Source organism: Homo sapiens, chromosome 6 (assembly GCF_000001405.40).
Source record: "Homo sapiens chromosome 6, GRCh38.p14 Primary Assembly".
NCBI classification, from domain to species: domain Eukaryota; kingdom Metazoa; phylum Chordata; class Mammalia; order Primates; family Hominidae; genus Homo; species Homo sapiens.
Genome location: NC_000006.12, coordinates 8,698,118 through 8,714,772, shown reverse-complemented (window position 1 = coordinate 8,714,772; position 16,655 = coordinate 8,698,118). Strand labels below are relative to the sequence as shown.

Here is a 16,655-nt window from a genome sequence, read left to right as displayed (position 1 = left end):
GTGTAACAACGCCATTACCAGTATCCCAAGCCATTACAGTCCATCTGCAATTTAACAGTTTGCTAAACTATCAGTTTCTTGTAAGGCGTTATAAAGAATTTTTTTCAGCAAATTCATAATCAGCAACCGAGCAAGCAGCAAGTCAGTAGTTGGAGTCCATGGTCTGAGTCTGTCCCATCTCTTGAGTCACCAGAAGTTCAGGTAAAACAACACCTGATGGGCAGTAAACATTCTCAGGAAACATAGAAGTATTGGCCATCCATTCATCATGTAAACACTCTGTTTGTTTTGAATTAAAGAAAAACCTCCCTTGAGTCATTCCTCATAAACAGAAGAGAAGACATTAAAGGAAACTATGAATAATCTGCTTTGGTTTGGAAAGGACATTGACAAAAAGCCAAAGAGCCTTTTTTCCCCATTTAATTGATGTTCAAAGCTGATTTGAAACAGGCCAACTACTTTCAAACATACATGTTAACAGACCAGTACACTCCTCACTTGAATCAAAATAATCCAACTGGTCTGGTCTACCAACTTCTTCTAGACTCACAGAACCTTGTATATCCTATAGCTCTGTATTCTGTTCTATAGAACCCATGGCCCTGCAGCTCTTGTTTGAATATCATGAGTAAACTGAAGCTTATTTTATCCCAAATTAATTTTTTCTATTATTAGTTAAATCAAATTGTCAAACAATTATTTCACATATTAAAACAAAATATAACTCTTACAGCACCCACGCATCGACCCTAAGTAAACTCTCCAGAGATGATTCTTCAAAATAGATCTACTTCTTTTACATGATAGATTTTCAAATATTTGAAGATAAGTCTCCTCTAACTAAATCTCCTCAACATGATGTGTCATTTTAGGCCACATTTGGTGATATTCTCCAGAACCTTCAATATCATATTATTATTTGCTTGTCCAGCAATGATTTGTAAAATAATGTACCAAAAGTGGAACACAATTCTCTAATAGCGGTTTTAATCCTTTAATCCAAGTAATGGTATTTAAAAGAGTAACTGATACTTCATAATCACTCAATACATATTTTCTATTTATTGGTTCTACTAATTTGGCACTAGGTGCTGTTTTAGGTATTGGGGATACAGCAGTAAACACAATAGACAAAAATCTGACTCCTTGCCACTTATGTTTCATTTGTTACTTGACTCACTAGAACATTGGTTGAAGTAGACCCAGAATTATTTGAAAGGTATTGAACTGCACAGGGTTGGAAATTAGAAGGCTAGCACTTGGTTAATATTTTTTAGCGGATGACATCTCATAAACTTGAGATCATTTACATTTCCTGCATCTTAAAGTAGCTGGATGATAAGTGAGGGTTAAACCTCCACTGGCTTTCCATTACCTAGGAAAAGGTAGACATAGCTAGAATAATTTGTAAGGCCCTCCACCATCTAGCTCTGATCTTTTTTCTTTTTTTCTAGATTTAAATCTTGACCTTCTCCTTTTGTTTCCAAATTGTTACCTATTTTTTTTCCAACACCCTGTGTGCAAGCAGACACTACATCCTCGCTGGTCCATCTCCCTAGAATTCCCTTACCCAGTTTCTCCTCCTAGGCAACACCTCATCTTTTCTAATTTGGCTCAAAATCCTAAATTGTCTTCACAATCTTCCTTGATCCATCCCTATTTCCCCCAAAACAGTTCATAGCTTCATCCTCTGATTCTAAAATATTTTATTTATGCCTCTCTTATAATACTGGTCTTCCCAGATCAATAATTCTTTACTTATCTGTCTACAGTAGTGTAATATAAGTTTTTTAAAGGCAGAAGTAATGTCGTAATCAGTGTTGTACATATAGAGTTCGAAAAACATGAGGCCTCTTGTTGTAAGTACACAATAATATTCATGAAAAGATAATTAATGAAACCATTTTGAAAATTATAAAATGATAATATAAATATAAGATTATTTTAATAAATGTTTATATAATTTATTGAGTCTACCATTTGATTATAGACGTCCAACTAACTGATTTTATGTGCATGTATGCAATTGAGAGCATTAATTTAAGAACCAAAATGGAATTGGTAAACAAAATAAAAATGAATTTTATAAGGATCATTAACAATAGTATTACCCTTATCATTACCTCAGTTTAAATAATTCCAATTAAAAAGTACTTCATACATTTCAAAGATTTACTCTAAAGTGCATTGGCAATCCAACCTAAGGATATACTCGTTAATTTTTAAAATAAATTCAAGTATTAATTGCGTATTGCTTATGAGGTCCCCCAAAATAATAAGTATCATTCAAATTAACAATGATAAGAAATAAATACCAAATGACACTCAAATACCTTCAATATATTAAAATAAATATCACCCTTCAGATAAAAGCATTTAAATATGTTAGATATATTTTCATTGATGATATTCTTTATAGCAATAACTCTTCAAACTAAGCAAAAAACATGATCAAACCCCAAAAATGCCAAGAAATGTATTATTTTAGGCTTATAATTCATTTTATCAGTATAAATGATAACAGAAAAAACAAGAATAATTAACAATTCTTAAAGTGTGAAGGTACTGAAAGAATATAGCCTAATAACCACAGTAGTTGAGAAAGAAAAGAGGAGACATTTTTCAGTAAATTCAGGGTAGATCTTGACCACCACTTTTGCCAGGTGCAAACATTACATACTGGTAGTGTGGCACTGAATGTCTTCACCCAAAAGAATCAAGGGCAGAGTTCAATGCCCTGAGCTGCCTTGAAGGCCACTCAGTTCTGTACACTCTGGTCCTGTAATAAATACAAATTGATCATCTGATTTTTGTTGATAATAGAGTGTATACTTCCCCACTGATTTTTGTCTTCACCTTAAGTTCCTTTCTCCCAGGCATGGCCATGGCTTTAGTTCCCAAGCTGATCTGAACTCATACTCTTTCTCATTCATTTCCTCCTGGTAAATGGGCTCTCAAAGTGGTGAGATTCATAGTTTCCTTGTACTCTCATTCCAGACTTCTCTGAAGGCAGATAACCGATTCCTAGATTTCCCTCTGTCAGGGAACAAAGACATCATGCTGCTGCCTCCTTATATCATTTGAAAGAGAAAGCTAATGCCAGAAAGGTACAAATGAAGTTTGAGGGCAACCTCTATAATGTATTTGTGACTGGTCCCTATACACATGGATCTGCTCTGCTTTAAGGCCACATAACAAAAAACAAAAACTCTAAGAAGCTATTAACAGAATAGCATTTTTGGCTGGGCACAGTGGTTCACGCCTGTAATCCCAGCACTTGGGGAGACTGAGGTGGGTGGATCACTTGAGCCTAGGAGTTCAAGACCACCCTGGGCAACATAGGGAAATCCCGTCTCTACCAAAAATACAAAAATTAGCAGTGTGTGGTGGCATGAGCCTGTAGTCCCAGCTACTCAGGAGGCTGCGGCAGGAGAACAGCTTGAGCCTGAGAGGTCAAAGCTGCAGTGAACCATGGTCACACCACTGTACTCCAACCTGAGCCAGACAGTGAGACCCTGCCTCAAAAATAAATAAATAAATAAATAAATAAATAAATAATATATATGGCATTTTCAAAGCTTAAAAATGTGAATTTATCTTAGCAAAGAGAAAAGCCTAAACTTGTTTAGAATAAAACACTAATGTTATACTTTAGCAAACGGGACCACTAGAGCTCAGTTAAATTTCCTTTGAGTTGATTGTTTTAGAAGCTTAAAATTAGGCATAGACTAGACTTATAACAGTGTGACAGTTAATATTGTAAACTTGACTGGACCAAGGGTGCCAAGATATTTGGTTGAACATTACTCTAAGTGTGTCTGTGAAAGCATTTTTGGATGAGATTAATGTTTTAATCAGGAGACCAAGTAAACCAGATTGTTGCCCTCCTTAATGTGGGTGGGCCTGAACCAATCAGTTGAAGGCCAGAATAAAACAAAAAGGCCAACTTTCCTGCTAGTAAGAGGAACTGCTCCTGCCTGACTGCCATGAGCTGGTACATCAGTCTTTTCCTGCCTTCAGATTCAAACTGAAACATTGGCTCCTCCTGGGTCTCAGGCTGGACGATCTTCAGACTGGAGCTACAACATTCGCTCTCCTGGGTCTCCTGCTTGCTGGCTGCAGATTTTGGGATGTCTGAGCCTCCACAATCATATGAGCCAATTCCTTGTAATGAATAAATGAATGATTAAATAAACAAATAAATAAATAAATACTATTGGTTCTGTTTATCTGGAGAATCCTGACTAATGCAAGCAGTGTTACCAATCTTTACTTAACCTTTCTAGCCATTCGTTTCCTCATCTGTAAAATAAGAGGCGTTGCTTAACTCTGAGCTTCTTTCAAACATCATGTAGTTTTCTAATTCTGTAAATGCCAAGTCAAATGATCCTTTTTATCTCTGGCTTTTATGGGATGAGAGCTTACCTTATGCCCCACACTGGACTGGTGGGTGTTACATGTATCTGCTTATCTCATCTCACAACAAGCTGGGGTGTTATTATTTCTTATTATTATAGGTGAGGACACAGAGACATTCAGTAAATTTCCCAAGATCTCAAAACCTGGAAGAGCCTGGGAAAGAACGCAGACTTATCGCCTTAGTAAAGTTAATTAAACAAACAAACAAACAAAAAATGAAATGAAAAAACAACTTGAGGAAAATATAAGAAAGTGAAAAGTAGTGGAGTTGGGAAGTAACTTCTTGATACTTAACCATAATTCACTAGGTCAATCACTCTCAACTTACTTTTCCTCCAGATTAACTTAGGTACTTCTCTCTCAAAAGAAGGTTCCAGTTTTAGGATGGTTATGACCGTTTTGTTGCTGTTGTCGTTTTCTGTCACCCAGGCTGGAGTGCAATGGCGCGATCTCAGCTCATTGCAACCTCCGCCTCCCGGTTTCAAGCCATTCTCCTGCCTCAGCCTCCTGAGTAGCTGGGATTACAGGTACCTGCCACCATGCCAGGCTTATTTTTGTATTTTTAGTAGAGATGGGGTTTCACCATGTTGGCCAGGCTGGTCTTGAACTCCTGACCTCAAGTGATCCACCCACCTCAGCCTCCCAAAGTGCTGGGATTACAAACGTGAGCCACCACGCCTGGCCCATGACCATTTTTATGCCCACTCTACCCCTTCAAGCTTTGACCCCAATCTCACTTGATAAACAGAAATTCTGCCTGTTAAAAAGAAGAGGTGAATGTGACTTCTGGCAATACTTTATTCTCATGCTTCTATTTCTCTTGTCCTGAAAATGTGTCTCCACACCTGGTTAACCAAAGCACTGTTTTAAGTAATGAATGAAAATATATGGGCATGTGAATGCGCATACACAGTATGTGTGTGGAGGCTTGTGTAACATTCTATTCTTCTCCTCTGAAGCATATTGATGAAAATGAGTGTTTTTACAGGTAGTCTTAAATTTTCCTGCACTTAATTGTGTACACAGTATATTTTGAGCAGACTTATCTACTTAATTTTGTTTGACTTAGAGTATTACTAGTGTTCACTATCCTCTTGAATTATTTCGGGAAGTGGAGAGAAAGTAATTTTGTTTGAAAATATGCCTGCACTCATCAACATATATGTAATAATAATGGCTAATATTTGTTGTATAGCAAACTGTATTATAATGGCAATATTTATGGTATAACAGGCTCTATGAAGCAAGTACTTTTATTATCCTCATTCTACAGTTGGGAAAACAAGATCTTATGGAGGGTTAAGTAATGTATATTATATCACATAAAAGCTGAGATTTAGCTAGTCTAGAAATTATACCTAAATTAAGGGAATGTAGTTTTCAGATAGGTTCAAGAAGCAGAATAATTACTAACTTTAGGATACACTCATTATGGACCCTATTCTGATTCTTCAGTGACTGCATGCGCAGCAAGGATCCTCTAACCTCTTCTCTATGAAATAGAATATTGTGTAAAACAAATGTTTTATGCTACTTCTTCTGTGCTTAAAATACACCTGCGTGTTATAAGGTGTTCTAGAGGGATCCAGGTTTACCAGGTAACTGTAGATACCAAATCCTGCCACTGTCAAGAGTCTTTAATAGAAGAGACACCCAAACCTGCTTCAACACTGCCCTATTTTCCATGATTTCTTAAAGATTCTAAATAGAATCCATCATTTGATAAGCCATGGGGAATAGTGTACTTTCAGATTGAGCAATTCTCCCATGAATAATCTAATTTGCTTTTCAGTTTGGAAACTCCCTCACTCACTGCTTCAGACTTTTAAGGGGTTTAGGATAGAAAGGAAAGGAAAGATTAAGTAAATACCTGAAGCAGCAACAACATTTTGGATATATCAAAGCTTCTACTTATTAGATTTAAACACAATGAATTTCCCAGAAAGGCAAAGAGGAGTGGCTCTAACTATGCCAGGGGGAACAGGAGTGCCAAGAGACCTGAGTGGCAGTTTGCTTGGCTCTGTGACAATGATTTTGCTCAAATGCTCCCCACCTTGCTTCCGAGCAGTGCAACAGCCTCGGTTCAAACAAAGCACTTACACAGCCTCACCTGTGGGTTGCCAACACCTCGCAGGGTGGAATCCTGGCTGTCAGACAAAACTCCGACTGAAAGTTCATTTCATAAATGCTTCCAAGTCAAAAAGCCATTTTTACTGGGCTGGTTTCAAGCATATCGCTGCCAAGACTTAAATTTCCCATCTCACACTGCCATCTACTGTCTAAGGTCCAGTGCTCTTAAAAAAAAGAAGAAGGAATGATACACCAAGCTTTCCAGGAGTCCAGGGCATTATTCGTGGATGCTCTTTTCAGAGTCCCTCTTGAACGGTAATCAAGTCTGATTGCTTTTATGTTCACCAATAACGCTATACTTCAGAGTCATATGAAATGCATGTGGACCAAAACCACATGCATTTGTGTGTGTGAACTCATGTGAGAAAAAAAAAATATAGTCTGTTTTAAAAGAATTGGAACCACCATTAGTTAGTATCCAGGGGAAATAGACCCAAGAGATCATGATTGAGAGTCATTGCCTCATTGTTTTAATTGTAGAAAAACAAAGCTGTCTCGAACTGACTGGACTTCATTGACATTAATGTGGTCTCATCCTACTAGACCTTGGCAGCTAACAAGAATCTTGAGAAATGAACAGTCAGGACTAGACAATGTCAGGATGCCCATCCAAGTCCAAGGGCGCCTTCAATCATCGCAGAACACTGATCCACTGCGGGCCTTGCATGTGCATTTCCTCCTTCCACCACTGATCATTTCCCCAAGACCAGGCTCTTTCACTTTTAGATAAATTGGCCCAAAACCCAGTGCTTCACTCTCTCCTTCATAGAGGGAGGGAATTCCCAGTCATCACTGCCACAAAAAATAAGCATTTTTCTGATATAACTGTATTTATCATTTATCATGCACCATCAATTAGTTGTTGTTTTGTTTTTTAAAGGGGCAATGGGAAGTCATAAACAAGTCTTGTATTAGAACTCCAAAGAGCTAGTCTTCATCATGACTTTGGCACTTAGCATAAGGATGCATGACCTTGGATAAGGCACTTGATGTCTGCAAACCTCAGCCTCTGTTTCTCTATTTGAAAATGGGGATAATAATTATTTCCCTTCCTGCCTTATAGGTTGAAAGAAAATAATTTAAGTAAGCTATACAACTTGAAATTTGCTAAGAGGATATATCTTAAGTATTCTCACCACCTCCTCATCGAAAAAAGAAAAAGGAAGAAAGAAAGAAAACTATCTGAGGTAATGGATATATTATGAGCTTTATTGTGGTGATTATACATATATCCATCAAATCATGAAATTGCACACCTCAAATATTTAGTTTTTAGTTGTCAAATAAGTCAATAAAATTTAAAAACTTACCAAAAAAGCTACACAGAAGTGAATGATCATTAATATTAACACTGTAACTTAACTCTGCATGCATATTTTTCCATTTAATTTAAGTGTCACTTCCAGTTGCACCTAGAATCTAAAGCTGTATCTTTCATGCAGCTGAAACATTTGTTGAATGACAGACTGATAGATTGATAGTCTCTGGAATTTCCTAGGAAATTCCACCTATCTACACGGAAGCACTTAAGTTCTCCAGAGAGCATTTACATTAATTGTCCAACTTTAAATAACATCCTGATAAATAGAAAAGAGCTCACACAGGGCAAAGCGAGATGTTTTTAATTGAAGTCCTTGTGGTACTTTTACTATTTTAATTTTCAAAAAGCATTTGCACTGCTATCAAATGTGTTTTTGAGAAGGTATACAAAATAGAACAAACTATAAGATAAATTTATTTGCTTTAAGTTGGAAAATAGCAAAACTTTCCTCGCTGAAAAACCACAACTGAGCAATAAGGGAAAAGTCAGAATTTCCAGAGAAGTAAAACTAAGACTTTTAGGCCACCCATTACAAAGCAAACCATTTTTAAAACCTTAAAAATAGCTCATTAATATATTTGTAAAAGAACACCACATACTAACAAACAAAAATAATTGTGTGCTTGGGTGCGGGGTGTGTGTGTGTGTGTGTGTGTGTGTGTGTAAGTATATGTAGGTTCCGAATATTTCAGGAAATAAGGATCTATGTTGATGTATGTAGATTCATTTCTTTCCATTTTGATTATAGTCACATATTTTCAAGATACTATGCATTAAAGTTAGAGTCAACAGCCATGAGATTGACAGAGCAAAAGAATGGCCTTTAATATGTTCAAACTGATGTCTCTGACTTAACACCACCATGCTTCTTGCTGAAAATATGTACTAAATTCATTCCTATTGCTTTCCCTTTAAACTAGTGAATTCTACTTTCCTTACCATTAATTAAGTCTATATACCATATAATTTAAGTAAGTTCATCTATGAGACTTTGGAGACACAAAATAGAGGAAAACCACAGGAAGCCAGCAGGAGGTCAGAACAATGCTTAGAGGATTATTCTGGCACAGGCTTTCCCTAAAGGGGTCAGCTAGTGATCTAAGAAGGCACCACTCTGAGCTTTGCAGATGCGAGACTGAATCCTGCACCTCAGAACTACAACTGGGTTAGTTTTTACTCTGGACTTGGTAGTACTTTCAGATGGAGGAAATCTGCCTTGGGGAAGAGGGTAGAGCAGTGTCTGTACCAGGCGTCTCTCACATTACAGTGTGGGCCTTGGACTCCCAGGGAGGCTTGTTAAAACATAGGTTGCTGGAGTCTCTGCCCAGTAGGCCTGGGGAGGGGCCTAGTATTTGTATTTCAAGCAGCTTCCCAGGTGGTTTTTTCCCAGGCTGATTTTCTTATATTTCTCTGTCTTCTTTTTTAAAGAAAAGGGAATCTGTCTTTTATTTCTAAGGCACCACTACATGGCCTAATGTTCACTGGCACATACTAGGAGCTCAATAAAAGTTTGTAGAATAAATGAATGTTTAAGTAAATTTAAATGCATAAAAATATAAATGAATGATGTAATCAACTAAAGTTCTATGTATGCTGGAAAAATAAATATAGATGTATACTGGAGGAAGTTCCAAACATCTTTTGAGTACCTACTATGTGTCAGGTGCTGTGCTAAAGAGCTAGTTATATGACAGTAAAAAAAAAAAAAAATAGATTCCATTTGGATCATCATTTAGTTTGTAGTCAAGTGGAGAAGATATACAGCTATGCATCACTTAGCAACAGGGGTATGTTCTGAAAAATGTGTCCTTAGGGAATTCTGTCATTGTGGGAGCATCATAGAGTATATTTACACAAGCCCAGACGGTATAGCCTACTACATACCTAGGCTATGTGATAGAGTCGGTTGCTCTTGAGTTACGAATCTGAACAGCGTGTTACTGTGCTGAATACTGTAGACAATTGTAACACAAGGGTAAGAATTTGTGTATTTAAACATAGAAAAGGTGTAGTGAAAATCTATACCTTTCGTACTTATAAAAGATTTTTATATGGTACATCTGTATAGAACACTTCCCATGAATGGAGCTTACAGGACGGGAAATGGCTCTGGTAAGTCAGTGTGTGAGTGGTGAGTGAACGTGAAGGTCTAGGACCTTACTGCACGCTACTGTAGACTTTATAAACACTGTACATTTAGGCTACACTAAGTTTATTTTTAAATATTTTTATTTCCTCAATAATAAATTAACCTTAGCTTACTGTAGCCTTTTTGTGCACTTTTTAATTTTTTAAACTTTTAGACTCCTTTGTAATAATACTTAGCTTCCCACACAAATGCATTGTATAGCTTTACAAAAAAATATTTTCTCTTTATATCTTTATTCCATAAACTTTTTTCTAATTTTAATTAAATTTTTCTTTTTACTTCTTAAATATTTTTGTTAGTTAAAAATGAAGACAAATACACACATCAGCCTAGGCCTACACAGGGTCAGGATCATCAAGATCTCAGTCACCGCATGCTCTCACTCATAAGTGGGAGTTAAACAGTGAAAACACACGGACACAGGGAGGGGAACATCACACCCCGAGGCCTGTTAGGGGGTGGGAGCCAAGAGGAGGGAGAGCATTAGGACAAATACCTAATGCATGCGGGGCCTAAAACCTAGATGACGGGTTGATAGGCGCAGCAAACCACCATGACACACGTATACCTATGCAACAAGCCTACATGTTGCACATGTATCCCAGAACTTAAAGTAAAAGAAAAAAGAAAAAACAAAAAGATGCCACTAGGCAGTAGGAAATTTTCATGTATCCAGGAACTTAAAGTAAAAAAAAAAAAAAAAAAAAAAGATGTCACTAGGCAATAGGAATTTTTCAACTTCATTATAATGTTATGCAACCACTGTCATACCTGCAGTCCATCATTGACTAAAACATTGTCATGTAGTGCACAATTGTACATTAAAGACATAATTACCAATGTCTAAAATAGATTGTGACGGAGGAGCACACGGTGCATGGAAACTCAGGCATGCTGCAGTGGTATGGGCAACTGTGGAAAATTTCTTTGAGCTCTGAACAGTAAGTGAGAATTATCCAGATTTAAATTGTAAAGATGTGAATATGAAAATGAAAATTCACTTTTACATGAAATATTTGAATATATCATATAAATCACGTTGATAGTGCATTTGGACCCTGCAGCAAGAAGACCGCCTGTTCTTTCAAATGTTTTCAGGCCAACAAATATCAGTGGTCTATAAGAACTCTGGATTTTTGTTGGTTTTATAAAAATTAAAACATAGAAGAAATCCAAGTTTTTAGTGAGTGACTATAAAGAGAAAAGGAACAACAGTGAAAAGAGTAGTAACATGTTTGTTGTAACTGGCATTTATCATCTCAAATATTATTAAAGCATGGATTACCTCAATTGCCCTAATTATATGTTCAGAATGAGCTATATCTCTTGTTAAGAGTATCAGAGTAAAATAAAAGCATAATGAGTTTAATTCTATCATCACTTTGGCTCTTGCTGGGTATAACTTAAAAGTTTATTTAGAACTGAGAAAATGCTACTTCCAGGGAACATTTTTCAGAAAAAAAAAGATATAATAAAAGTAATCACGTGACAGTCCTCCATAAAAAGAACTTCACTTATTGTAAAAAGAAAATTTTAAGCTAACATTGGCTTACATTTTTTAAATCATGCAATTCACACAAATTTATTCTCTGGACAGCTGGATGTTCCATTGTTTCCAAATGAAAATAGTAGATTGTTTGCACCTGGTTAACTTAAAGGCCATTAAAAATAAGAAAAATATAAATTTGGAATTTTAAAATAACTATATGTATTTCTGCTTTTATATCTTCTCAGAATTTTAGCGATATTCCCATAACCCACTGTATAAAAATAAATTAAAATATTTTAAGACTTCTCTGTGGAATTACATGAACAGGAATAAATTTCAGACTCCAATTACTTGAAGGAGCAATCATCGAACACCTGTTGGAACATGGCACGTGGTTATCCACTGGGTGATTGCGGTAGCATTTAGGTTGCAGCCAAAAGTACACAAATACATAGAAAGTAAGAAAGAGCATGATGTACTCAAGAAATTAGTATGGCCTCAAAACAAGGTTGATGTGGGTAGGAAGTGGTTGTTGACTGAGGAAAATAACCTGGAGAGGGAAGTAAAGACCAGATCACAAGGCATGTTATAAGTCATGTATCCTAGCTTGTGTTTTCCCAAGAGTGAAATACAAGACAGGCCTTGGATACAGGTCATTTATTTAAGAGTTAATTTCAGAATGCACAAGCAAGGAAGAGGTAAAAGAGAGATAAGGAAAGAAGATAAAACAAAACAAAACAAAAAACAGTGTGTTATTGAGCTGGTCATGATTATTGGCAATGGGTCTCAACCCTACATGCCTACATGGCATCCCTCTGAGGTACCAAGTGTAGTCATGGCCTCCAGTGGCCTCAAGGGTCTAAGAAGAATCCCAGTGAAGGCTGGGAGGCTGGGGTGGTGGGAGAGACTGAAACATCTATCCATTGATGCCATCCTCCATTGTATGAGAGTTGCCCCAGGGGAGCCACATTGAGCGATGAGCAGCTCCACGATGTAGAGAAAGCCCTGATGTAGAGACAAAGAAAAATCATTTAACTCACATAGGAAGCCAGTGGCTTCTGAGAAACTGCCCCTAACCTCAGACATGCTGATGGACACAAATTATACGGGGCTAGATTGTGCATTCATAATGTCTCCCACCTCATGTGACTGTTTACATGTTACTGGTTTTAAGCAATGAAGGGACACAATCAGATTGCGATTTGGCAAGTTTAATCTAACTGTAGTGAAGCAAAGAGATTGAAGCTGAGCATAAGAAACAATGACCAGGCCGGGCACGGTGGCTCACACCTGTAATCCCAGCACTTTGGGAGGCCGAGGTGGGAGGATCATCTGAGGTCAGGAGTTCAAGGCCAGCCTGGTCAACATGGTGAAACCCTGTCTCTAGTAAAATGCAAAAAAATTAGCTGGGCATGGTGGCGGGTACCTGTAATCCCAGCTACTCAGGATGCTGAGGCAGGAGAATCGCTTCAACCCAAGAAGTGGAGGTTGCAGAGAGCCGAGATTGCGCCATTGCACTCCAGCCTGGGCAATAGAGCAAGACTCCATCTCAAAAAAACAAAAAAAAAAAAAAAAAAGAAAAGAAAAAAAAGAAACAATGACCAGTTGGAAAAACAAATACATAAAAATGATTCTAGACAGGAAGAAGTAGAGGGATTCATGTGCGATTTTGGAAGCAGAATGGACTGAAGGTAAGAAGTACATTACGGGGATGATGGATAAGGACAAGTTAAGGATGACCCTGAGCTTTCTGACTTCTACAATGGAGGACAGTGATTCCATTCAGAAATAGGACAAGGGATCAACTGGGTTTCCAAAGTACAGCAACAAGAAGATACATCCATTCTTCATGTCATTTAGTGATTCAACGATAATGTTTTGAGGACCTGCTGATCTAGGAACTAGAGATTCAGCAGTGAAAAATATAGACAATATCCATACTCTCCAGAGTTTATATCCATTTGGAATAAAAACAAAGCAAGCAAATAAAAAGATAAATAAATACAACAATTTCAGATATGGACAAGTGATATAAAGATCATAAAAGAGGAGGATGAGATAAAGTGTAATGAGAGTGGGTTGAGCTCCTTTGGAATGAGTGTTCAGGAGAGACCTCATGAAGAGGCGATATCTGAACCAAGGTCGGAGTAACACAAAGGAATCACAGGAATAACTAGGAGAAAACTATTCCAGGCAGAGGGAAGAGTGGGGGCCAAGGGTAGGATGAAAGCTGGCACACCCAAGGAGCAGAAGGAGACCATATGGGTGAAGTTTAGTGAAACCAGGTGAGCCTGGCATGAGGTGAGAGCAAGAAGGAACCACAGGGGCAGATCATGACAGGACTAGAGACCAGGAAAAGGAGACTGGATTTTTATTTCTAGCATTAAAAAAATCATTGGTGGTTTTCAAGCAGGGAGATAATGCAATTAGATTTCTGTTTCTTAAAGGTCACTCTGGATGTTTTGGGGAGAATGGATTTTTAGACAGGCAAGAGGAGACACCTGGGAGATTGATTAATAATGAGAACTAGCTCTAACATCGCTAAGACACTGCTCTAAGTGCACTGCAAGGGTTAATTTATTTAATCCACACAGCAACTCTACAAGGTATATATTATTTTTACTCCCTTCTACAGATGAGAACATACATGTTTCATAACTTGCCCACTGTCAGGAGGTAGCCTGGCTCCAACCCTGTGCTCTTACAAACTATGAATCTTACCATCAGATATGAGGCACAGTGCTTGTCCAGGCCGAAGGTGATAGAGTGGGTTGAGTGACTAGAGATTGAAACCAAAGTCAATTCAGGGAAAACTGTGATAGGCTGAGGTCCAATCCAATATGAGGTTCATCTCACAAACACCTAATGTCTTCTTTATTCCTCTTATGCATGGGTTGGTACACTTTATTGACTTTTGGACAGATTATTAAACTGGAAGAAATTTTCTGGATTTGAATTATTTAGTTAGGTAAAAAAGTAAAACATTCAAAATTATCTTTAACAGTTTTCAGCATTGACAAAATCCCCATAGTTCTGTAGGTGGAGAAGACAGAAACATTAATTGAACATGGTCAATATTCTTAAGAAGTTGGTACTAGCGAAAGGGATGGTAATGCAAACAAATTTATTATGGTGAGTGACCCGGCAAATAAATGTTTAATAACTGGCACTTGGGAGTGAGGGAACCCTTTATTTGTAGAGTTTGCCAATTTGTGTGATTTCAAGCTGCTGATGGTACCTTAACTGACTCAAAGAATTCCAGAAAATTTAATATTCGGTTCTCTTGAACCAAGGCAAACTAGCTCCAGTACTTACAGTACAGTGTGAAGAATGTGGAAGAAAGGTGTTCAACAGAGGATCTAGGACCCCAGAAAGAATCCTGACTGATTATGCCCAAGAAAATCATGCAACACTTCAATGAGGCAATGGCATTTGAACACGGTCTTTAAGAAGGGAGGAGGAAAACTGTCAGTTTATGTATAGTCTATGGCAGCTCCAGTTTACATATTGTCCGTAGAAGATTTCTACTACAATGGTAACATCATGTAGTTATAATAAAGACTACAGGGACCACAAAGCCTAAAATATGTGATTCTTTCCAGAAAAAGTTGCCAACCCTTGCAGTAATCAATGACAACAAAAATCAATTAAACCCTTAATAGAGAAATGTCTTTGACTTTCAACACACTAATACAACTTCTTCCATCCCACTCTCTGCTGATGAGCTTGCTTGAGATTTTACTGAGACACTGAAGCAGTCAGAGCACAGTATCCTTGCTTTTCCTCCTGCTACCATAGGCAAATGATCATCGTGCCTATCTAGAGCCAACCTTTTCATTTGTATGCTACAGACCCACCCCTCAGGCTCACCTAAGGTCACTGGTCCAAGTATCCAAGCCTCTCTCTTCCCTGCATCATCGGGTTTTTCCTCTCCACTGAATCATTCTGATTAATGTACAAACATGCCATTATTCTCATTTATTATTATTACTATTATTATTATTGTAAATAACATTTGACATGAGATCTACCATCTTAAATTTTTAAGTGTATAATACATTATTTTTTACTGTAGTTACAATGTTGTACAGTGGATCTCTAGAGAGATTATTCATCTTGCTTGACTGAAACTAATACCGATTGATTCATAATTTTCCATTTTCTGTTCCCCACAACAATCACCTTGCTACTCTTTGATTCTATAAATTTGACTATTTTAAACACCTCATCTAAACGGCATCATGCAGTATTTGTCTTCCTGTGACTGACTTATTTCACTTAGCATAATGTCCTCAAGGTTCATCCAAGTTGTCACATTTTGCAGGATTTCCTTCCCTTTTTAAGGTTCAATGTATTCAATTGCATGTGTATACCACATTTTCTTTACCCATCCATTTGTCAACAGACATTTAGATTGTTTCCACATCTTGGTTATTGTGAATAATGCTGCAATGAACATACGAGTGCTTATATCTCTTTGACATTCTGACTTCAATTATTTTGGATAAATACCCAGAAGTGGAATTTCTGGATCATATGGTAGTTCTATTTTTTATTTTCTGATAAACCGCCATACTATTCATTCCTATCAACAGTGTGCAAGTGTTTCAATTTCTCCACATCCTTGCCAACACTTGTTTTTTGGTTTTACTTTTGATTCTAGTTATCCTAAGAGGTGTGAGTAGATAACTCATTGTGGTTTTGATTTACATTTCCCTAATTATTAGTGACATTAAGAATTTTTATATACCTATTGGCTATTTTATGTATTCTGGAAGCATCACAATTCCTGATGTTAAAATTCATTACAAACCTATATCATTAATGAAAATGATATAGTACTGGCATAATGACAGACTTGTAGACCAACAGAACAAAACAGAATATCCAGAAAGAAAATCACGAATATATGGACAACTGGTCTTCTAAAAGGGTGCTGAGAATATAAAATGGGGAAAATCTCTTTAAAAAAGGGTGTTGGGAAAACTGGATATCAATATGCAAAAGAATGAAATTGGACTTCTGTCTTACACCATATACAAAAATCAACTCAAAATGGGTTAAAAGCTTTAAACGTAAGACTATACATATTCTCAAAAAACATAGAATGGTCATGATATTTCTCTTGACAATAATTTCATGGATAT

At 37.1% G+C, this 16,655-nt stretch overlaps 1 long non-coding RNA gene across 2 annotated transcripts in view; it reads right to left on the bottom strand.

Annotated features, from left to right (window-relative positions):
• The window catches only part of LOC100506207 (uncharacterized), a 349,823-nt gene that overhangs the window by 70,673 nt on the left and 262,495 nt on the right, over positions 1-16,655 (bottom strand). Inside the window, exon 4 of one of the 2 annotated variants that reach the window (NR_038979.1) lies at positions 2,480-4,164. The exons of the other annotated variant lie outside the window; for it this stretch is intronic. This is a non-coding gene — a long non-coding RNA (uncharacterized LOC100506207). Of the gene's footprint in view, positions 1-2,479; positions 4,165-16,655 lie in introns of those variants that run through there. 2 annotated transcript variants of the gene reach the window in all.